At 42.1% G+C, this 23208-nt stretch overlaps 1 protein-coding gene across 49 annotated transcripts in view; it reads left to right on the forward strand.

Moving 5' to 3' along the window:
- TNRC6A (trinucleotide repeat containing adaptor 6A) overlaps positions 1-23208 on the forward strand; it is a 216014-nt gene that overhangs the window by 183658 nt on the left and 9148 nt on the right. For 15 of the 49 annotated variants that reach the window (XM_024450231.2, XM_017023148.3, XM_017023152.3 and 12 more), the window contains 13 exons: positions 682-857; positions 2045-2077; positions 3628-3708; positions 4053-4104; positions 10315-10457; positions 10843-10989; positions 11152-11289; positions 11743-11871; positions 12344-12421; positions 12712-12922; positions 15488-15619; positions 21285-21443; positions 22954-23094. In XM_024450231.2, the coding sequence (XP_024305999.1) occupies positions 682-857; positions 2045-2077; positions 3628-3708; positions 4053-4104; positions 10315-10457; positions 10843-10989; positions 11152-11289; positions 11743-11871; positions 12344-12421; positions 12712-12922; positions 15488-15619; positions 21285-21443; positions 22954-23094 (1620 nt within the window). The remainder of the gene's footprint in view (positions 1-681; positions 858-2044; positions 2078-3627; positions 3709-4052; positions 4105-10314; positions 10458-10842; positions 10990-11151; positions 11290-11742; positions 11872-12343; positions 12422-12711; positions 12923-15487; positions 15620-21284; positions 21444-22953; positions 23095-23208) is intronic. The other 34 variants (NM_001351850.2, XM_024450233.2, NM_001330520.3 and 31 more) reach the window with 6 other exon arrangements.

Consider the following 23208-nt stretch of genomic DNA (forward strand, 5'->3'; position numbering starts at 1 on the left):
ACTATTCATTTGCATATACTTCATCAAATCTAAATTATATTTTACCAAATTAGGTTATCTAGGAAGAGTCTACTAGCAACTTTCATGCCATCCAGCCTGAGAGGCCAACTAGTGTAGCCATGAGGACACATATTCAGACTGTCAGATGATTCCCTGAAAGTTACAATTAGCATAGTTCAGAAAAGACCCAAGATTGAAATTAACATTGTCATTATCCCATAGGCTGTGTACAAGATGCCCGGTAGGAATCCCAAGGGCCATGTGTGAAGATAAGATGCTTTCTGCTTAAGGCTTTGAATACTCTCTGGCCATTCTCCCTAAAAATATATATAAAAATTAATTCTTTCAAATTTCATTCATCTTCTTTGTCCTGTGCATCACTATGCAGATTATTAAGTGGGTACAAACAAGAGTGCTACCATTGTCCATGTTCAAGAACTATGATTTGTTAAAGGCATGGAGGAGTTTTATTAAATTTTTAAATAAGAATATATTATTTTTCATGGAAGGTTTAGCTCAGTATAAAACATACTTTCCTTCTGTGCAGATGCAGGAAGGGAAATAAGTGTGCACGTGTGTGTTTTCTTAGGTTCTCTACCCAATTTTTAATATATACTTATTCTCCAGAAGGAATTCTTTTATTAAAGTATGTTTCTCTTTATATCACAAATCCACAATCAGGGCCAAAATCTATGCAAGATGGCTGGTGTGGTGATGATATGCCATTGCCTGGAAATCGCCCCACTGGCTGGGAAGAGGAAGAGGATGTGGAGATTGGAATGTGGAATAGTAATTCATCTCAAGAGCTTAACTCATCTTTAAATTGGCCACCATATACAAAGAAAATGTCATCGAAGGTAAACATTTCAAGGGCAAAGCCCTTGAAACTTTAAATTCCAAAGGTAGTTTACCCACAGAAAATTAACTTTTCGCCTGCCCATTTCTGGCGGTCAGTACAGTCCAGGCAGCCCCCACCTTAGGTATAGCCACTTGTATGGGCAGCCACCTAGAGAAACATAAGAAAGACCACAGGAACTTCCTTTCTCCCCACTGCTACAGCTTGGGATTTCTCTCTTCCTCCCCCTCCACCAGTGCTGCCTGGGACAACCCCTCATCCTAGGGTGGTGCCTGCAGTGGTGAGGATGAAGAGGAGGGCAAATCTCCATGTTGACTCTTTCCATCCCACTGCCAGTTCATCTCCCATTTCATTTCCTCACCTGGAGTCCCCCGCCACCCGCTTACCCAGAGTCACCATCCTCCTTATTCACCTGTCATGTTTGTCCCTATCCCATCCCAAAAGGTCCTGTGACAAAAATCCCTAGGAATGATCTGAGCTTGGTTTTGCTTTTATGTGTGGACAAATCATATTCCTAAAGCTGGCTGTACATCGAAATCCCATGGCATTTGTTAAAAATGCAGCTTCCTGTACCTCAGGTCTACTGAAGTTTTGGAAATTGGACCAAGTTTCTTATCCTAAAGAAACTCCTCAAATGTCTCTGATGCAGAGCCAGGTTTGGGAAGCACTGATTTAGAGCACTGGTTCTTAAGAGGTGGCACTGGGGGCTGCTGTCAGATCCTCCTGGGGACCATTTTCAAAATATGTGCCCAGTCCCCCAGGTGGTTCTAACATAACATCCTAACCCACCCTACTTGAGAATGATTACCTTTTGAGGGACCTTAGAAGTCAGATACCAGTGGATAGCTGGACTAGGTAACTGCCAAGGTTCCTCACTTTTAATCCTGGGATTCTAAGTCTAGGACCTGCCATTTTCATTTTTAAAATTTTTCATTTGGCTGAATTTGCCTATTGCCTTGCCATATAGCTTATGAAGTGCTTTTACATGTTTTACATAAGTCATTTGATCCTCACAACCATCTAAGATAGGACACTGATGAATTTGAGACTGGAAAAGGTGGTGACTTGCCCAAAGTTGCGATAACTAGTAAGCGACAGAGTAAGGACTTAAGTTTAGGTCTTCCAGTTCCAAACCCCATGTTCTTCCCACTGGACCATGCTGTTTTGTGACTTTGTCTTTCCTTACAGGGTCTGAGTGGCAAAAAAAGGAGAAGGGAAAGGGTGTGTAGCCTTTTTACTCTTTCTCCTTTGTTTCTACTAGTAAAAATCTTTAGAAAGCAACTGCAAACATTTATTTAGCCTCTGCTGTGTGCCAGGTACTGTGCTTGGTGCTGGGGATTCAAATACACTAAGATATGAGTTTCACCTTTCGGGAGCTCACAGTCTAGTATGGGGCATTAGGAGAGCTTCATAGAAGTGTCAGCTTGAATTTGGAAGATGCTTGGGATGGGATGTGTTAAGGAAGATAGTAGCCCAACATAACCAAAATGTAGAATTTTTAGGAAGAAGTGACAAGAGATCTGGCTCTGTAGTTGAGGCAGATTGTAGTGTCTTCAGTAGCATGCCAAGGAATTTGAACTTTATTTTGTGTAAAATATGGAACCAACGAAATTGAGTAGAAAACAACATCAGTGGGGTTTTTAAATTACTAATTTTAAAAGAAAGCTAATCAGTGATAGTATGAAATATAAATTGGTGCAGAGGGGAGACCACAGTTAGGGATCTCAGGGAGCATCTGCGTTAATTCAAGCTAGAAAGGACAGCTTGAGTTGGGAAATAAGAATGGATATATAGTGGAAGGGACTAATTTGAGAGGCATTTCAGTCAGAATAGAAAGGACAGAAGAACTTGGCAACTAGTTAGGTATGGGGATGGATGGGGTGAAAGGAAAAGGGATCAAAGCCAACTTCAGAATCTGCGGAGAGAGTTAGATGCTTGCTTCAGAGACCTGCATTTGGGGGGAAGTTGTGAAGCTGTGTTCTGTTCCACAGTCAGAAGGAATGGACAGTAGCAATGGGAAGGGGTAATGAAGTAATGAAGGCAACAGACTGAGAATGGTCCAGTGAGACCATAATGAGAGACATAGATCTCTATGGCTTCCAGCCTCCTTGTCTACCAGACTGCTGATCACAGACCCTCCATCCTCTTAACTCATGTCTCAATGGAGTTTGCGTACCACCCATACCCCAACCAGCCGCAGAGAGCCAGCCCTAAGCAGGAGGAATCCCAGGTTCAACTTCTGCTAGAGATGTTGTGTTCTTGGCAACACAAATTGAAATTTTAAAATACTTTTTCATGTGGAAAACACATGGTGTTTTTTCAGTAGGATGCATATAGCATAATTAAATTAGGGGTTAAGTTGGCTTCTTTGGACTAACCTTAGAACCTAGTCACTATTTTTTTACTTTGGTTTGGAGTGAGAATTCCAGAAATCTAAATTATAACTAATCTTACAGTTCTCCGTTACTCAGAGGCCCTGTTTTCATATTTGTGGGTCATCGAGGCCTTTTGCTTCCGTCTTTTCCTTCTGACTGCTTGCCTTTAGAGATTTCTCTGTACATTACAGCTATACCAGAGGACTGGAGCAAAGGAAGTTGAAAATCAAATAAGTTGATTTTTAATTATTAACAACTCTGATAAGAGTTGATTGGAGGAGAAATTATTGGCTAAAAATGAGAATTGGGGATTGTCTTAAGTTTTATTAATCCGTCACTATACCCAGATAAACAGAGATGGCCATGGCATCTTTTCTACTCTTTTATTTTACAAAGGGAATGATGAAAGGTGGAAACAAACAAGAAGAAGCGTGGATAAATCCATTTGTTAAACAGTTTTCAAACATCAGTTTTTCGGTAAGTATGTTTTCTTAGCAGCTCCTTCCTCTTTTAATGGTGGTCCATGATTTATCTTGATTTCACTCTTTTTAAGAATTATTTTTCATCTTCGAGTCCTTAGGAATGTACTTGATGTTAGAGTAAAATCGGCCTCCAAACCTTCATTTTTATGGTTTTAGCTAAAAACTTCAATCACATGTCTTATTTTAAAACATTTTAAAAATTACATTAGGCAGTGAAAAATGAAGCTTTATGATCCACTTGAATTTCACAGATAATGAAACACAGTAAAATTCTTCATTTTTTATTTGTTTTCATTGATAAATTAAGGTCTGCTAACATGCTGCATTTTCTTTCTTCAGAGAGACTCACCAGAGGAAAATGTACAAAGCAATAAGATGGACCTTTCTGGAGGTAAGAGAAAATTAAATCTGTTTATATTCCTCATTGAGGGACACGCACATCCATGACATGATTCTACTGAAAGAGCCCTGACGTAGATCAGGACAGGGGAGGCTGTGCTCTCCAATAGACGTACACATGCTGTGGTTAAATGAGTGCATGTGCCTTGAAAGTGCAGGACCACTGTGCAGATCAGTGGTGATATTAGTCTGATTACTTTACACATAATCCTGCCAAGAGGGAGTTACTCAGATTGGAGGGTATAGTCTTCTTGATTAGGGAACAGCACGTAGAAGGGCCTAGATGTATGACAGACTCTTAAAACTATACTGGAGGAATGGCAAGTCATTCCATAGAATGAGTCAAGAAAAACAGTTTTGGTGGGGGCAGCCGTGGTGGTGGTAGTGAAAGATCACCTGGATAAAGATGCTAGAAAACAAGGTCGGTGCTGAGTCATGAAGAGCTTGGGAATTTGAACTTTATTCTTAAAATATGGGATTAAAGTGAAGCAAGGGAATGACATGGTTTGGATTTATGTTTTAGAAAAATCATCTTGATTATAGATTGAAAATAGGATAGAAAACATTGGCAGCAGGAGATAGAGAAAAGACACTGAAGATAGCAAAACCAGTAGATAGTTGTTGCAGTAGCCAGTAATTATTTCAAAGCTCCAAACCAAGACAGTAGATGGAAATAATCTAATTCCATGGAGACATAGGACTTGGAATCAACAAAAATTGATAACCAGTTTGAACCAATTTGTTAGGCAGGATGAGGGAGAGAGTGTGATGGAAACTTACCTGGACAGTTTAGTAGATGGTATTGTGTTAATCCGAGTCCAGTCAGGAGAAACTACGCAGTAATTTGCTAACAGGAAAAATGTAGTATACAAGACTTTAACAAGGAATTGGAGTAGCAGTAGCAGATACAAGGGGAAGTAACTCAGTGAGGACTGACATAGCATGCCCAAGAAAGAACCCCCTTCCTCTCACTATGGTGCCATGCCAGTAGGAGTGCAGGAAATCCACCCTCTAAGATACCAGTGAAGGCAGGGCACAGGAGAGGTGTCTCATGGGAGGCACTCGCTACGGAGCTACCAGAGGGCATGCTGGTAGATGCTGCCAACCACTGGCGAGGTGAGCATTGTAGGTGCCTTGTTGCTGGCAAAGCTGCTGTGCTGCAGGAGACAGCAGACCAGAACTAAGAAACCAAACCTCTCCTCTTGCACCTTCTATTTACAAAATGTCAGTGCTAGCTGGCGAAGGAAAAAAACCTATAAAGGGCCTAAGTCCATTTTTTTTCACAGAGCAATCCAAAAGGGTAAAATTGGAGCTAGAGGAAATAAGTCAGTCATCCGCACAGATCATCCCAACCCTTTGACTACTCACCTTCCATATGTACTCTTCTGCACGCATTTGTCCGGTACAATGGCAACGCAACTCTGTATTTCTGCTTAACAAGATACAGCTTTCTTTCTTGCAAGTGAAGAAGTGTTCATCCTCTCTCTAAACTGAGGAGATGAACAGCCCCAAGGGTCATTGTATTCATCACTGGCTATATAATCACCCCAGAAATTCAGTCACAGTTTGTTACCTAAAGACTGAATTATAAAACCTAACATGTAATAACTTGTGAATAAGGTAAAAACAGGAAAAAAAATGCTTGGCCTATACAAATTAACACATCCATATGAGAAACAATAGAAAATATGCAAATCTACTACCATTGTTATTTCTGTAATTGCTCGTAAGCCATCATTGGTATCTGTGCCTTCCTCCCTTCACTGCCTATTCTGTACTTAACTCACTTTCAGGTTGAACCTCAGCTGCTCTTGGTTCTTTAGCTGGTGGAGTTAAGTAACCCAAACCTTCATTCACAAAGGATCTGAGCCCCCAGTTGTCCTTGCCTTTTATGGTTGCCATTGTTTTTCATTGGCCTTCACTACTGGGTATGGAAATACTAAGAAGCATCCCAGAGAATCCCCTGGGTTCCCGACAGTCTTCACTGCCTTCATTTCGTAATCACATCAGTTACCCCAGCCAGTAGACTAGTTTTGTTTGTTTGTTTGTTTGTTTGCCTGCTAGTTCATACCTCAAGGAGTGCAAAATGTCCCTGTAGCAGTCTTCATCTTCCAGGGCAGTGGAGCCATTGTTGCGGTTTTTGTTGGAAGCGTTTTCTCTCTCAAGGACTAAATTCTCTAAATCAGCAGTTGTCAGAACAGAAAGTGAGTGTTCTGTAAGTGGCTCATTAGGTATAATTGTGAGAGAAGCCGCTCGCACTTTCACCTTTTGATTCTCACAACTTACAAATTCTAGTAATTGGAGAGACACATACCGCATCCTCCTACGACAGATGCCCACCTTTTTAGGATGTTGTCTCCCAACTTGCTTTGTAACTGATTCTTTAGTAAGCCTATTAATTTGGTTAGCTACTTTCAGGCAATGGCATATATGGTAAGACCAGTTAATTCCATGGGCATGAACACAGTCCTGTATTTCCTCTGCTGTGACATGAGCTCCTCAGTAAGACATGATGGCTGTGAAGAGTGCCGATAGTGGAGAAGGCATCCTGTGAGGCTGTGGATAACAGAAGCTTTACAGGCAACAAAAATCTGTGTCCAGAATGTGAACCTTTTCCTGTTAGGACAAGTTTCTGCCTCCTTCATGGCTCACTGAATGGCACGGAAGTTGCTATGATGTCGTGCTGGTGGAACCTGTGGGAAATCTGCCCTCTAGAGTCCTGGGAAAAGGCATTCATGGAGAGGTATCTCACCGGAGACACTGCAGCACAACTGTGATGTAAGAGGGAGGGGAATGCTGGGAGAAGCTCCCACAGAGTGCTGCTGACCCACCAGGCAATGGAGAAGCTGCAAGGGCTGCCCATGCCTACCAAGTCCACATGCTGGCCCAGGAAGCAACACCCTTCCTCTTGCCCTGTCTCTCGAGCTCCCTCTTCTGACAAAGCCTCAGTACCAGCTGGCTAAGGAAAAAATGTAAAGAGTCCAGATATATTTTCATAGAGCAGTCAAAAAGGGTGAATTTGGAGCTGAGAGACAATAAATCAATAAATGGTCATTATTTGAGTTAAGAAATACAGGAATAGCAGGCTTGATAGATACTGCGTTTGAAGGTGCTCTGAAAACCACCTGGTCCAGTAAACAGTCGAAAATCTGGATGTGAAGCTCAGAATAGATGGGGCTGGTGATATGAAGTGTAATTAATTAGATGTGGATGATAGTGTAAGCTATAGGAATAGTTTGACTAGAGAGAGTTGGAGGATAATGGACCGAAGACAGTCCTGGGGAATAATGGCATTTAGGGGAGTGATCCTAAGCAGAAGTGGGACAAGTTAGAGTAGAATAATTTTTCAGACGCCAAGTGAGTACAGAGTTTTGAAAAGAAAAAACTGATTGTCAGGGAATGGATTTGACAGTGGGGCTCAGGGGTAGTCATTGGTAACTAATGGACCTTACTGGAGGACTGGTGGACTGAGGGGAGATTGCCACATTTGAGTTTCTTTTTAAAGGGATGCAGAAGTGTTGGAGAATGGTTTGTGGAAAAAATGTAACATGCTACTCTCTTTTTTTTTTTTTTTTTTGAGTTGGAGTCTCACTGAGGCTGGAGTGCAGTGGCGCAATCTCGGCTCACTGCAACCTCTGCCTCCCAGGTTCAAGCGATTCTCCTGCCTCCACGCCCAGCTAATTTTTTGTATTTTTAGTAGAGACAGGGTTTCACCGTGTTGGCCAAACTGGTCGCAAACTCCTGCCTGCCTCGGCCTCCCAAAGCGCTGAGATTACAAGTGTTAGCCACCGTGCTCAGCTGCTACTACTCTTTCAAAAGGTATTTGCATAGGCAAAAATAATGTGAATTATCAAGAAGGAACAGCTTGGAGAGAGAGTTAGGAGAACTGGTTGGAATTGGTTACAGGATTAGATGAAGAGAGTGGGGGAAAGAGTTCACAATGGCTAGCTTAGTTGTTATCAGTGAATTATGACATCTTAACAGGGAGAGAGAACAGAGGAGGGAGCTGTGGTAAGGATTATTGACATTCAAGAGAGGGCTCTTAAACAACTGTGAAAGGTGGATTTTTTAAATACCAGATTCATGACTGGAACAGTACTTCTTAGCTACTTTAAGAATTGTTTTCCTTTTCCACTTACCTGGAATGAGAGTAGTAAAGGTAAGTATTATGGTGGTGGCAGACATCTCAAAGAACAGCAGTTGCAAAGAAATGATGGATGAGATTTGAGGATTGAGAAAACGTCAAGAATGAGGAATAGGGAGATGAAAACCTGTGTTAACAGTGACAATGAGGCCGGGCACAGTGGCTCATGACTGTGATCCCAGCACTTCAGGAGGCCGAGGTGGACAGATGACTTGAGGTCAGGAGTTGGAGACCGCTTGGGCAACATGGTGAAGCCTTGTCTCTACAAAAAAATGCAAAAATTAGCTGGGGGTGGTGGTACATACCTCTGGGCCCAGCTACTCAGGAAGCTGAGGTGAGAGGATTGCTTGGGCCGGGGAGGCACAGGCTGCAGTGAGCCAAGATTGTGCCACTACGCTCCAGCCTGGGCAGCAGAGCCAGACACTGTCTCAAAAAAAAGTGACAATGGGACATCGAAATGGATGTGCTTTAGCAGGCAGGTAAAAATGTGGGACTGAGCTCAGTTGTGAAGTCTAAGCAACATGTTTATATTTGGGCATCACTTGAATGGGAGTGACTGCTGATACCCTGATAGTGAATGAAGTCTAAGGAAAGCAAGTTTACAGAGAGAGTCAAAAGACTGAGACCCTGAGTCTACTTTGTCAGCCGCAGAGTATCCCAGCATTGAAGAAGCACCCGAGGTGAGCTCAGCATGGGTAGAGGAAGAGAAACCAGAATGGACAGATGGTGAGGAGGGGTGGTAGAGAGCATTGTCCACTTTTAAAAGATTTGTTGAAATAGAGCAGTAGCTTTTGGGCCGGAGCTGGCTATATCCAGCAAAGATTTTGCAGGAAAAAAGTTTCCAGGAGAGAAGATCATTTTTTATTGCAGAGCAGTCAGAATGAGGAGAGGAGCAGACAGAGCAAAGCCTAAGAGAGGGGAAGATGTTACCCTGTCTGGTGTCCAGTTTCCTCATCTGCTAAAAGGGCGATAACAGTAGAGTTACAAACATTAAATTAGTACACATAAAGCATTCATAGGCCAGGTGCGGTGGCTCACGTCTGTAAATCCAGCACTTTGGGAGGCCAAGGCAGGCAGATCACCTGAGGTCAGGAGTTTGAGACCAGCCTGGCCAACATGGGGAAACCCTGTCTCTACTGAAAATAAAAAAATTAGCTGGGTGTGGTGGTGGGTGCCTGTAATCCCAGCTGCTCAGGAGGCTGAGGCAGGAGGATTGCTTGAACCCGGGAGGCAGAGGTTCCAGTGAGCCAAGATCACACCACTGCACTCTAGCCTGGGCTACAGAGTGAGACCCCTTCTCAAAAAAAAAAAGAAAAGAAAAAGCACTTATAATGGCGACTGACATAAACCAGGCATTTATTAAATGGTGGTTTATCACAGTGGGTGTTGATTGTTTTTATTACTTGTTAATGGAAACTTACCTGTATTATAAAACTCAGCAGATTAGAGATGGCTAAAGGTGCCTTAAGTTATGTAACCTAAGAGTCCTTTTAAAACGAGGCCGGGCCTGGTGGCTCATACCTGTAATCCTAGCACATTGGGAGGCCGAAGCGGCCGGATCACTTGAGGTCAGGAGTTCAAGACCAGCCGGGCCAACATGGAGAAACCTACATCTCTACTAATAATACAAAAAATAGTCAGGTGTAGTGGTACACTCCTGTAATCCCAGCTACTCGAGAGGCTGAGGCATGAGAATTGCTTGAATCTAGGAGGTGGAGGTTGCAGTGAGCCGAGATCCCACCACTGCACTCCAGCCTGGGCCACAAAGCGAGACTGTCTAAAATAAAAAAGAAAAAAAAAGTGAGGTTATCAGCCAGCCACCTTCTGTTTACTAGTCTATTTCAAGTTAATTATTTCAGTAAAATAACAGTATCTCCTAATTGCGACTTCATTTGTGAGGAATGCAAAATTTATGAAATGGAAGTGTATTTTTCACATACCCTTGTCTTGGCTGAAGTCATTTCAGTTTGGAAAGTGAGTGTTTTGCTTTTGTTGTAAATTTATCTGAAACCAATTGGGTTGTCTTCCTGTTTGATAACAGTCTCCTGCCTTTATTAGGAATGTTACAAGACAAACGAATGGAGATAGATAAACATAGCCTAAATATTGGTGATTACAATCGAACGGTCGGGAAAGGCCCTGGTTCTCGGCCTCAGATTTCCAAAGAGTCTTCCATGGAGCGCAATCCTTATTTTGATAAGGTAAGGTTTTTTACTTTTACCTCTGACTTGATAAACCAGTATACTTCATAGCGTAATTTTCACACTAATATTTTAAAACCTTTTATATAATATAAAGTGTTACAATCCACTACCAAATCTTATTACTGGATTTTGAAGTTCACTGTCTTTTTATGTCTCAATTTATCATAGAGGTTGCATTTATATTTTTCTTCTTAATCCCATGAAATATGTTTGGCTCTTTTTGTGTGCTCTAGAATTAACACTAATCCGATCTCTTCTGTTTTCTACCTGTTTCCTGTTGATGCTGGAATGTCATGTGACTTCTCTTCTGTTCCTGCAATGATTTCTCCCTTCCACTTGTTTGCTTGGCTGGTGTTGCACATCTTTCTGTCTGTCCAATCAGGATGGCATTGTAGCAGATGAATCCCAAAACATGCAGTTTATGTCCAGTCAAAGCATGAAGCTTCCCCCTTCAAATAGTGCACTACCTAACCAGGCCCTTGGCTCCATAGCAGGGCTGGGTATGCAAAACTTGAATTCTGTTAGACAGGTAAGTCCAGATGTGTATTTTAGGCTCTCAGTTGAATGATTTGTATTAGTAATAAGATCTCTCTTACATGTAGTTACTGTGTTTAAATCATAGTACAGTGTGGTAATGAGATGTTTGTCCCTAAAGAATCCCACTGTTACTTGTTGCTGTTTGTTTTTATAGAATGGCAATCCCAGTATGTTTGGTGTTGGAAACACAGCAGCACAACCCCGGGGCATGCAGCAGCCTCCAGCACAACCTCTTAGTTCATCTCAGCCTAATCTCCGTGCTCAAGTGCCTCCTCCATTACTCTCCCCTCAGGTAAATAAGCTTTCCTTACATTCTCCTGTTTACCTGCAAAAAGGATCTTGCATGATTTTGTATTTGAATAAAATGGCTAACTAAGCATTATCATATTTATTGGCATCTTTGAGATTCAGCTAGTTTTGAATTAACTATTAAAAAAGGTTGTAGTAAGGAAAAGTCAAGGATAATTTAAATCCAAAATTTACCATTTTCTTCTTTAAAACATTCTTGAGAGTAGGACAAAAGCAAAGTAAAATTGACTAGTTTAAGATGCACCTCTGTCATCTTTTACTTAACCCACGAAAAAGTGTAAGTGAGTGGTCAGTTAGTAAGACAGAGACAAAGACTATAACCCCCAATGAATAGTCCACAAATTTAACTGCTCTATTGACAACTGAAAACACACAGTACGTGTAGTTAGTGTGAGTTATTTTATCAAGATCATTAACTTACCATTGTGATCCTAAGGTTCCAGTTTCATTGCTGAAGTATGCACCAAACAACGGTGGCCTGAATCCACTCTTTGGCCCTCAACAGGTAGCCATGCTGAACCAGCTATCCCAGCTAAACCAGCTTTCTCAGATCTCCCAGTTACAGGTAAGCAGAGTCATAGTCTTTCTTAGTACACATTTATGGAGCATCTACTGTATGCCAAACACTAGACTCTGTGCGGGACATAGTGCACTAAACAAAACAGGCGTAGTCATAGTCCTCATGGAGCTTACAGTCTATCGGGGGAGACAGATCGTGAACATTTGTGAAGAATGTCTTGAAGAAGTGCAGAATGCTGTGAGAGGAAACCTCAGCCAAGTCCAGGGTGCTAGTGTTAGTAGGATGATTAGGAAAAGTTTCTCTGTTGAAGTGAAAGTTTAGATTGAACTAAAGACTGAATTTCAGCAGTGACTAGAAACCAGAGAGTCCAAGGAAGAGATGGTACTAGATAATGCTAGACATGTTGGCATTGGCTAGATCACGTCGTGCCTCTGTAGGTCCATCTGCTGTCGTCATTTGGAAGCACACACTTTGTAATGGTGTGATAGTAACAACCTTTTCGCTATCTTTCCTCTAGCGATTGTTAGCGCAGCAGCAAAGGGCGCAGAGTCAGAGAAGCGTGCCTTCTGGGAACCGGCCGCAGCAAGACCAGCAGGTAGAGCCCGCCCTGCAACTCGCAATGCTGTCTTTGTGTTAATAAACTCTGCTTATCTCCATTGTAGCAAGAGATTCAGAAATGTCTTTCTTAAAACAATCTTACTAAGATGTAATGCAGTATGTTTTTCATTAAGTCTGCTGGTTGCCCATGAGTTATGTGAACATTATACAGTGATTATTCACCTTTCTGCTGAGACGAAAGTGAATTCAAAAATGGAGAGGAATATGTAGTTTTCTGTAAAGACGTTTTCCCCCAGTAATTTTTTCCAATCATTTCATTGTTTTAAGGGTCGACCTCTTAGTGTGCAGCAGCAAATGATGCAACAATCTCGTCAACTTGATCCAAACCTGTTGGTGAAGCAGCAGACTCCACCATCTCAGCAGCAGCCACTCCATCAGCCAGCCATGAAGTCTTTCCTTGACAATGTCATGCCCCACACTACACCTGAGCTGCAAAAAGGGCCATCACCAATAAATGCTTTCAGCAACTTCCCTATAGGTGGGTTTCTCCTTGGCCCAAGTATTGGACTGATGCTTAGGTATCACAGGCGTGCCTCCTTCACACGTACCCTTACAGCTCTGTTCCTTCATGAAAGCTACATTGATCTCTTAGCTGTTCCCTCTCAGAGAGTTGCCATCCCCTCTCCTAGTTTTAACCTGCTCCACATTCAGGGAAGGTCTCTCTCCTCAAGAAAATCACGATTTTTCTTTTCTTTCCTTTTCTTTTTTTTTTTTTTTAGGACAGAGTCTTGCTCTGTCACCCAGGGTGGAGTGCAGTGGTGAGATCTTGGCTCACTGCAACCTCTGCCTCCCGGGTTCAAGCGATTCTCGCACCTCAGCTTCCCGAGTAGCTGGGATTACAGGCGCGCACCACCACGCCCAGCTAATCTTTGTATTTTAATAGATTTGGGGTTTCACCATGTTGGCCGGGTGGGTCTGGAACTCCTGACCTCAGGTGATCTGCCTGCCTTGGCCTCCCAAAGTGTTGGGATTACAGGCATGAGCCACCATGCCCAGCCTTCAAAATCACACTATTTCAAAAACTCCACACTCGTTTAAAGTGCATTAGAATAAAGGAAACATTTCACTTTTTAAAGGACTAGCTGTCTTAATCTTAAGTAGGATATTAAGGGTGGGAAGGAAGGCTGATGTTCTTATTAGAAACAGTACACCAGAGAATTTTTGAGCAGTGCTGTTTTGGTGAAACAGCTGGGGATGGTCACAGTCACATTTGCTAGCTCTCAGAACTTGAAGTTTTAACTACTGTCTAACTATGTATAAATGATTACTGATATAAATTTAAAAATGGAGGTAAGAAAGGAGATTGCCTTTCTTATACATGCAACTCCCCACCCCCACCCACTCTTTTTTCTCTGTTATCTCCAGGCTTTTATTCACTGGGTAGAGATTTTGAGCTTATATGTTGTTTCTTTCCTAGGTCTCTTTTTTTCTTGTGCCCTTGATTATATTTTAACCATTGATTGTTCATGCCCTGTTTATTTTGCTTTTTTTCTCTCTCTTTTCCTATACAGTGGTTTCTTGTAAACCAGCTTTGCTGGTTGTTAGCCAGAGTGTTTGAAGACCATCAGTTAACTAGTTGTTCTGGGCTGTGGGCAGAGGCTGGGGCATGCTGTTGCCCCTGCTGCTGCCTCACTCTGTGACTGAACTGGTTTGGCTCAGCCTGGTATTACCACAGACTCTCACCTGGGACATAAATTGTACTTTGAGTCCTTAGGATTGTTAGTGATCTCTGCATTTCCAAAAACAGTTCCCTTGTCAGTTACTACTGTGGGTGAATACTGAAGAAGCCATTTAGTGGTGGCCAGGTGATGTCAGAGACAACAGTTAGTAGTAAAAGAATGATACCCAAGTACAGGGAGAAGTTTTTGTCTCATCAGTGAAGGGAGCTGGCTCTTCCTATTTGACTGCACACTTGACATATAAATTGGCCACATAAGTTCTAAGCATAGGATTTCCTGCCCTGGCCAGCTTCTCAGTGAGGGATACTTCTTGATTAAGAAAGTCTGCTTAGCCCATGCAAATACCAATACAGTTATCTAAGTTCGGCAACAGGCTATGGCCTGTTGGCCAAATTTGGCCCACTGCCTGCTGTTGTAAGGTTTTGTTGGACACAGCCACATTTTCTCTAACCTGGGGTCTGTGGCTGCTTTCGTGCTGCACCAGCAGAGTTGCATGGAGACACCGGGACCATGTGGCCCACAGAGCCTGAGATACCGGCTGAACCTCTGCAGAAAAAAATTGTCAACTCCTGATCCGATTGATGGGTCCAAGAGTAGCAAATTTAATTGCTCTCTGCAAAAATACGCATGGTATTAGAGAATTTGTATTATTAAAGTTTTCAGGTTTGACAGACCTTAACATCACATGGACTCATCAGACCAGAGAATTTAAAACAATTTAATTTGGAACTTTAGAATAAGAACCTCTTGGGAATTGTGAAACAAAGATTCTGGCTCCCACTGGAAAGTCTTCATTTTTAAACAAGCGTTTTAGGTGATTCTAATATTAATAGTCCCTAGATTACTCTTTTAAGAAAAACTAGCTTAATAGTTTTCTGACCACTGTATCTAAGGTTGAAATTTCCATTCTTGTTCCAAGAGAATATCCAAGTCTGAGGGGCCTCATCAGCAAAGGTCAAGTAAATTGTGCCTTAAGATATATCTGTCCCCAGCCTAGGTGTAATTGCTAGTACAGGACATTTTTACTTTAGAATTTGCAAGCAAAAGATAGCAACTGAAAGTGACCACAGATCTTCATGCATAGGTACACTTGGGAAATAGCTAAACAGATACATTTTATTCCAAGTAAACTTATACATCTGGCTTCCTTAAAACTTTTCTCCCTCTTATTTTGCCAAGGAGTTTTAAATAAATCATCAAAATTTTATGGAGAAATATTTTCTACGTATAACTAAATTATAGTATTAACAGTTATGTGGTTTGAAAACATTAGTTACATGTTTTTCTAGGAAATAGAAGTTGTGCTACTAGAAAGAAAATGTGCTGTATTTTCTAAGGTTTTGTTTTGTTTTTTAATTTTTCAGGCTTGAACTCAAACTTGAATGTAAATATGGATATGAACAGTATTAAAGAGCCACAGTCAAGACTAAGGAAGTGGACGACAGTGGACAGCATTTCTGTGAACACATCTTTGGATCAAAACTCCAGCAAACATGGTACAAAAGATACATCTTACCAAAAAAAAAAAAAAAACACACACACCTGCAGAATACTAGATTTAGGCCTTTATTTTATTTTAAATGTGTTTTCAAAGCCAAATTATCTTAGAACTTTTCCTCATTTAAAAAAAGTTGTTATTAAGTCTTAGTTACAATAAGAGACTTTCAGATGAAAAGCAGAATTTACCTCTACTCTGTTTTATAAAGGAGAGATCAGATGATACATGTTTAAAAATTATTTTCTCTTTGGCTTTTTACATTTTTCTAAGTGATTTTATTCTTATATTATTACACTTATTAACATTTACTGGATTTAATTTGATATGTTCTTAGGACATTTAAAACTTCTACCAGGGTCCCATTCCGTCACCCAGGCTGGAATGCATTGGCATGATCTCAGCTCACTGAAAACTCTGCTCCCGGGTTCAAGCAGTTCTCCTACCTCAGCCTCCTGAGTAGCTGGGATTACAGGCCTGAGCCACCATGCCCGGCTAATTTTTGTATTTTTAGTAGAGACAGGGTTTCATCATGCTGGCCAGGCTGGTCTCAAACTCCTGACCTCAGGTGATCCATCTGCCTTGGTCTCCCAAAGTGCTGCGATTACAGGTGTGAACTACTGCACCTGGCCCATAATTTTATTTCTATCAATTCCTTATATATGGACACATTTCTTTATATAGCTTATTGCTATGTGTAAGTCATATGGATTTAACAGTATTGTCTTTTCAGCAATTAAATTTTTTTTAGAAATGCCGTTTTCATCTTATTTAGTATTATCCATTCACCCAGCAAATATTAATCGAGTATCTTCTGCTTTCCAAGGCTATGTTAGCACCTGGAATACATAGACACAATGTACATACATGCTTACAGTTGAATGTATGTATGTATGTATATACGTAAAATTACTTGCCCTGGAATTGTTCATTGTGAACGAAAGTATGTCAGCAGCTTTAGTACAATATAATAGGTAATATCAAAGTTAATATTTATAATAGTTTAATAATACCAAGTTCCTTAGGAGCATTGAGTCAGGAATAACTGCAGGTGTGGTGGGTCTAGAAAGGTGAAAAAGACTTACCTTGAGAAGAGTAAGTTTACCACACAAACAGGAAGAGCAACCAAGAAAGAATAGTGCATGCAGGGTTCAAAGAGGACTGCCTGGTGAATTCTGTATCTCGGCATATCTGGGGGTGAAGGTGCAAATGACAGAAAAGAGGTAGATGAAGATGGAATAGTAGGTGTGGTGCAAATCATGGAAAACTTGTGCCAAGAATGATTTTAAACATGAAAATGATGGGTGCCTAGAGGCAGTTAAGACTTAAAGTAGTCTAGGTAAGAGAGAGAAAGGTCAGTGGACATGAGAGGGAGTACACTGCAAGAGAGTTTCAAAAATTAAAAGCAGAAAAGCTTGGTAACTCACTTAACTCATTCTTTCATTCAGCAGTGTAAGCCTGAAACACTTGCATAACTGATCAGCTAGTCAGTCTCCAGCCCTCTCCAGACAGACCCCTCAGAGGTCAGACAAATACAGGACGGACCCGAGTCGCAGGCAGAAAAGAATAGGTGTTCGCCGTAAATCATATCATTAGAGTGGCCTAGGTGTAAGGCATGCAGAGGCACTCTTAGCTGGCAGAGTAGTCCATGGGCTTGGAGGAGCACAGGAGCTGAACAGGCGACGGTCCTGGCACACTTTGGAATGTGCAATCCAGTCTGCCATGCTAACCCTTAGCTGCACACTGCACACCTACAGTAAGAAAAGTCTGATTTGTTAAGGGGAGTGGAGGCAAGGACATTTGACTAGGAAGTTCTGCATTACAGAAGGGTTAAACTGGATGTCTCAGATACTCTATGGGCCTAAGATTCTGTGACTTCCAGGCAGTTTATAAAATCCCTTCATCTCAGCACCCAGACGGATTTGGTGACATGTATAGAAGGAGATTTTTTATTTTAGCCTTGGTTGGAGGCAGTTGGGCAAGGCTTCTAGGAGGCCTGTGATCTCTGAAGCTGAGATATGAAAGATAAACAGAAGTCAGGCAGGCAGAGGTGAAGGGAGGGGAAACGATGAGAGATGGAGCGGGGCTAGAATTTTAAGAGCCTTATAAACTTGAAGAATTTGAACATTGCCTTTTGTATGTTGGAGAGTACTAAGCCAGGAGATGACATGATCAGATTTGCACTTTCGAATGATGCCTCTGGGTGCAGTGTGGAGAATTGGAGTAGATCTAGTATAGTCATTATCCAGGAGCTGTGGAGGAAGTGGAATTGACAGGGCTTGGTGATTCTAGCTTAAGCAGCCTCAAATGTATGATTGCTAGTAAAATGATATTTTTGTGACATTCTTTTTTTTCTATTGAATTTTACTTTGAAAGTTTATTAACTAAACTTTAGGGTCAGATTTCTAGATTGTACACATTGGACTAATGATTTTCAGAAATTAAAATTGTCGTGTAATAGAAGGAACCGCTAGACCATAAACCAAACAGACCTTTGATTCTAAGTTCGTTTGCCGTTCAGGGGAATGTCACTTTGGGATTTTTTTTTTTTTTTTTTTTTTTTTTTTTTTTTTTTTTTTTTTTTTTGAGACAGAGTCTCACTCGGTCACCCAGGCTGGAGTGCAGTGATGCAAATCTCTGCTCACTGCAACCCTCGTCTCTGGGATTCAAGTGGTTCTCGTGCCTCAGCCTCCTGAGTATAGCTGGGATTACAGGTGTGTGTCACCACACCCGGCTAATTTTTGTAATTTTAGTAGAGACAGGGTTTCACCATGTTGGCCAGGCTGGTCTCGTTCTCCTGAACTCAGGTGATCTGCCTGCCTCAGCCTGCCAAAGTGCTGAGATTATAGGCGTTAGCCACCAGGCCCAGCCCGGAATTTTTCTGACCTGAAGAGAGAGAACAGGGAGTTGAGACAATGGGGAAATGGCAAAATAAATATGAATCCTAGGTTCGAGACCTAGCTCTGCTACTAATTGACTCTGTTATTCCAGTCATGCACCACTTAATGGCAATGTTTCAGTAAACAATGGGCCATATATCCAGTAGTGGGTCCATTGAGCTTATAATACCATGTTTTATTGTACCTTTCCTGTTTAGCTATGTTTAGATACACCCTTCTGTTACAGTTGCCTACATTACTCAGTACAGTAACACACTGTAGGTTTGTAGCCTAGGAGCAGTAGGCTAGGCCATAGGGCTCTGCTGTGTAGTGGGCTCTACCATCTAGGTTTGTGTAAGGGCACTCTGATGTTCACACAAAAATGAAATTGCCTAGTTTCTCCAAGTGTAGCCCTGTTAAGTGACACGTGAGTGCAATTAGCTACTTGGCAAGTAACTTAACCTTTCTGAACTTGAGGTCCCTCATCTGCCAAATGGAATTAATAGTACCTCTTGGGCTTTTTTTTTTTTTTTTTTTTTTTTTGAGACCCCAGTTGCCGAGGCTGGAGTGCAGTGGCACAATCTCAGGTCACTGCAGCCTTGACCTCCCAGACTCAGATGACCCCCCCACCTCAGCCTCCCGAGCAGCTGGGATTACAGGCGAGCACTGCCACGCCTGGCTAGTTTTTTGTATTTTTATTAGAGATGGAGTTTTGCCATGTTGCCCAGGCTGGTCTCAAATTCCTGAGCTCAAGTGATCCACCTGCTTCGGCCTCCCAAAGTGCTGGGATTATAGGCGTGAGCCACCATGCCTTGCCTTGTTTTATTTTAGATTCAGGGGGTACAAGTTCATGTTTTTATACAGGTATATTGCATACTGCTAGAGATATATTGCATACTGGTGGAGATTGGGCTTCCAGTAAGCCCATTGCCCAAATAGTGAACATTTTACCCGATAAGTAGTTTTTCAACCCTTGCCACCCTCCCCACTTGTGGAGTCCCAAGAGCCTATTAATAATTTCCATCTTTGGGTATACATTGGTTAGCTCCTACTTAAAAGTGAGAACATACAATATTTGATTTTCTCTTTAGTTCACATAGGGTAATGGCTCCCAGCTCCATCCATGTTGCTGCAAAAGACATGATCGCATTCTTTTTTATGGTGGCCCTCTTGGGATGTTTTGAGGATGAATGAGACGATGCATCTCAGGCACTTAGGTGCTGGAACAGGGTTAGACACATCAGTCAGTGGTCAGCAGATCATAGCCATCATTGCCATTACTGCCTTCATCACTATCTCATCAGATACCCTACCTCCAAGACAAATATTCTCCACTGTACATTTAGCTCTGTTTGCTTAAACTGAACCTGTCACGTAGGTTTTACATTTCATTTTGCTGATGTTCCCCTTGTGTTGATTAATGAAATAAAATTGCACCCTTGCTGCCTCGTTATATCATCTGTTTCTCTTAGATGAAATGAAGTTTTCATAAGTGGAAATTGTTCTTACTAGAAAAAAATATATAATTACGTTTATCATCTCAGGTGTAAGAATTAATCACTTGAAATGTGGCAGTTATGCTTTCCTCATGTATCCTGTACAGCCATTACTTCATTTATGTCCCATTTCACTCCCAAGTGACTTTAATTCTGCTTATAGAACAGATGCATAGTTCACACAGATCAGAGTGACAAGATTGAGGATGCCAGAGCCAGAGGGGAAATGGAAGCAGTGGAGACACACTGAGTCAGGGATAGGTCAGTGCCCACCAGCGAGAGGTGTGAGGCCCTGTCAGGGACCAGCTTCATCATCCCTGAGTTACCCATGTGGATGCTGGCACACTGTGACTTGAAGCCAGAGGAAAGAGTGGGGCTGGAGTGGCATGCAGGGCCCGGCTGTGTGTTATAGATGTTCATAGTGGGAGCCGGCTGGAGTTGCGAGCGAGGTTCTATTTGCATCCACCTCAAATTCAACATGAATGGAGGAGACTTGGTTTTCCCTTCCAAATTTACTCCTTCTGGTGTCATTTTTTTCTTTTCTTTTTTTTTTCTTTTTTTTTTTTTTTTTGGAGACGGAGTCTTGCCCTCTTCCCAGGCTAGAGTGCAGTGGCATGATCTCAGCTCACTGCAACCTCTGCCTCCCGGGTTCAAGCGATTCTCCTGCTTCAGCCTCCCAAGTAGCTGTAGCTGGGACTACAGGTGCGTGCCACCATGCCCAGCTAATTTTTGTATTTTTAGTAGAGACAGGGTTTCACCATGTTGGCCAGGTTGGTCTCGATCTCTTGACCTCGTGATCTGCCTGCCTCAGCCTCCCAAAGTGCTGGGATTACAGGCATGAGCCACCACGCCTGGCCCCATCCTTTCTTTTTTAACAGTTTATTGAGATATAATTTACTTATAATTCGGTGTCTTTTAGTATATTCATGATGTTGTGTAGCCATCACCACAATCCATTTTTAAACATTTCTATTGCCTGAAAAGAACCCCTGAGCTATCATAGCCCTCCACCATACAAGTGTTTTAATGATTTGGAAATAAGTTTGTACTCATATTCTGGTCACTTAATGATGTTTATGCATCTCATAAACTTAAAATGAAATTCACAGTTATCATTTTCAGACATTCTTCAAATGCGATGTTAGAATCTCAATATAAAAGAGTTACTCTAGAGAACACAGCCTAGAGCCCACAGATCTAATAGAAAGTGTTCATGCTACATTTGAAAAGCTATAAGAAATAAATCTGTGTGTATTTTGCTCACATTTCTCTATTATTCTTCCCTTGTTAGGTGCTATTTCAAGTGGTTTCAGGCTGGAAGAGTCTCCATTTGTTCCCTATGACTTTATGAACAGCAGTACTTCACCAGCCAGTCCTCCAGGTTCAATAGGAGATGGCTGGCCACGTGCCAAATCGCCTAACGGCTCTAGCAGTGTTAATTGGCCACCAGGTAAAATTTTTTCTAACACTTTCTTTCATGAGACTGTGTTTCCATTAAGGTTTTGTTACATCTGGACTTACTACTGATGTAGCCCAGATCGGCGTGCTTAGACTGACGTGTGCGGATGAGAAGGAATGCAGAAGTGATTGAGGAAAAGTTAAGCATGAAGTCTTGGGCAAGTGAGTGTGTCAGCCTGTTACCTATGCCTTTATGCTCAAGCAGCAGAGGTAGAAGTGAGCCCCATTGACCAGCATGAAGAATTATATTAAAAACTTTAGGCTGGGCGCAGTGGCACATGCCAGTAATCCCAGCACTTTGGGAGGCCGAGGCGGGCGGATCACGAGGTCAGGAGATCGAGACCATGCTGGCTAACACGGTGAAACCCCGTCTCTACTAAAACTACAAAAAATTAGCCAGGCGTGGTGGCGGGCGCCTGTAGTCCCAGCTACAGGAGGCTGAGGCAGGAGAATGGCGTGAACCCGGGAGGCAGAGCTTGCAGTGAGCCGAAATTGCGCCACTGCACTCCAGCCTGGGCGACAGAGCAAGACAACAACAACAAAAACTTTAATTCGCTGTTTCTCGTAAGTTGTGTCAGGGAGTAACTTGCAGTATTTTCATTCATACATAGGAGTTACCAGAAGTGCTTCTATGGCCTGCTTTCTCCTACCTGAGTTGCAGTAGCTTTGTGATTTGTCTTAAAGCTTAAAGCACTTTTAAATGTTACTGTTTAAAAATAAACATGAATCTGGCGGGTACGGTGGCTCATGCCTGTAATCCTAGCACTTTGGGAGGCTGAGGTGGGCAGGTAACGAGGTCCCAGGAGATGGAGACCGTCCTAGCTAACACGGTGAAACCCCATCTCTACTAAAAATGCAAAAAGAAATTAGCCGGGTATGGCGGTGTGTGCCCGTAGTCCCAGCTACTCGGGAGGCTGAGGCAGGAGAGTGGCGTGAACACAGGAGGCGGAGCTCGCAGTGAGCCAAGATCATGCCACTGCACTCCAGCCTGGGCAACAGAGCGAGACTCTGTCTCAAAAAAAAAAAAAAAAAAATACATGAATCACAGCCAGGCACAGTGGCTTATGCCTGTAATCCCAGCACTTTGGGAGGCTGAGGTGGGAGATCACTTGAGTCCAGGAGTTCAAAGCTGCAGTGAGCTGTGATTGCACCACTACACTCCAACCTGGGTGATAGAGAAAGACCCTGTCTCAAACATACATACATATATATGATTTTTTAACACACACACAAGTACGTATGTGTATATGTTACGTGTGTGTGTGGGTATGTATATTCACATTCAGTGAGATGATTTCAGTTGTAAAAACTTGCAAGTAATTTATAAAGAATAGCTTCTATAATACTAATTGTATTAACTGAACCATCCTCTTAGAGTATTAGTGTAAATTGGAAAGTATTTGAGAGTTGCATAGGATTCAGGAATAAAGGTTTTGGATATTTATTAATGGATTTTAAAATGATGATTAAGCTTTGAACTAATTTTAAATTTCCGTTTCCAGAATTTCGTCCTGGTGAGCCATGGAAAGGTTATCCAAACATTGACCCTGAAACTGACCCTTACGTCACTCCTGGCAGTGTCATAAACAATCTTTCAATTAATACTGTGCGGGAAGTTGACCACCTCAGGGACAGGAACAGTGGTACGTAGGGGGTGCAAATCAATTTCTGAGTGACACTTAACACAGTTTAAGAATGGCTCATGTAGTACCCAGCTACTCTGGGCGACTGAGCCCAGGGTACTCTGGGATCACTTG

The sequence above is a fragment of the Homo sapiens genome, chromosome 16 (assembly GCF_000001405.40).
Source record: "Homo sapiens chromosome 16, GRCh38.p14 Primary Assembly".
Lineage (NCBI taxonomy): Eukaryota > Metazoa > Chordata > Mammalia > Primates > Hominidae > Homo > Homo sapiens.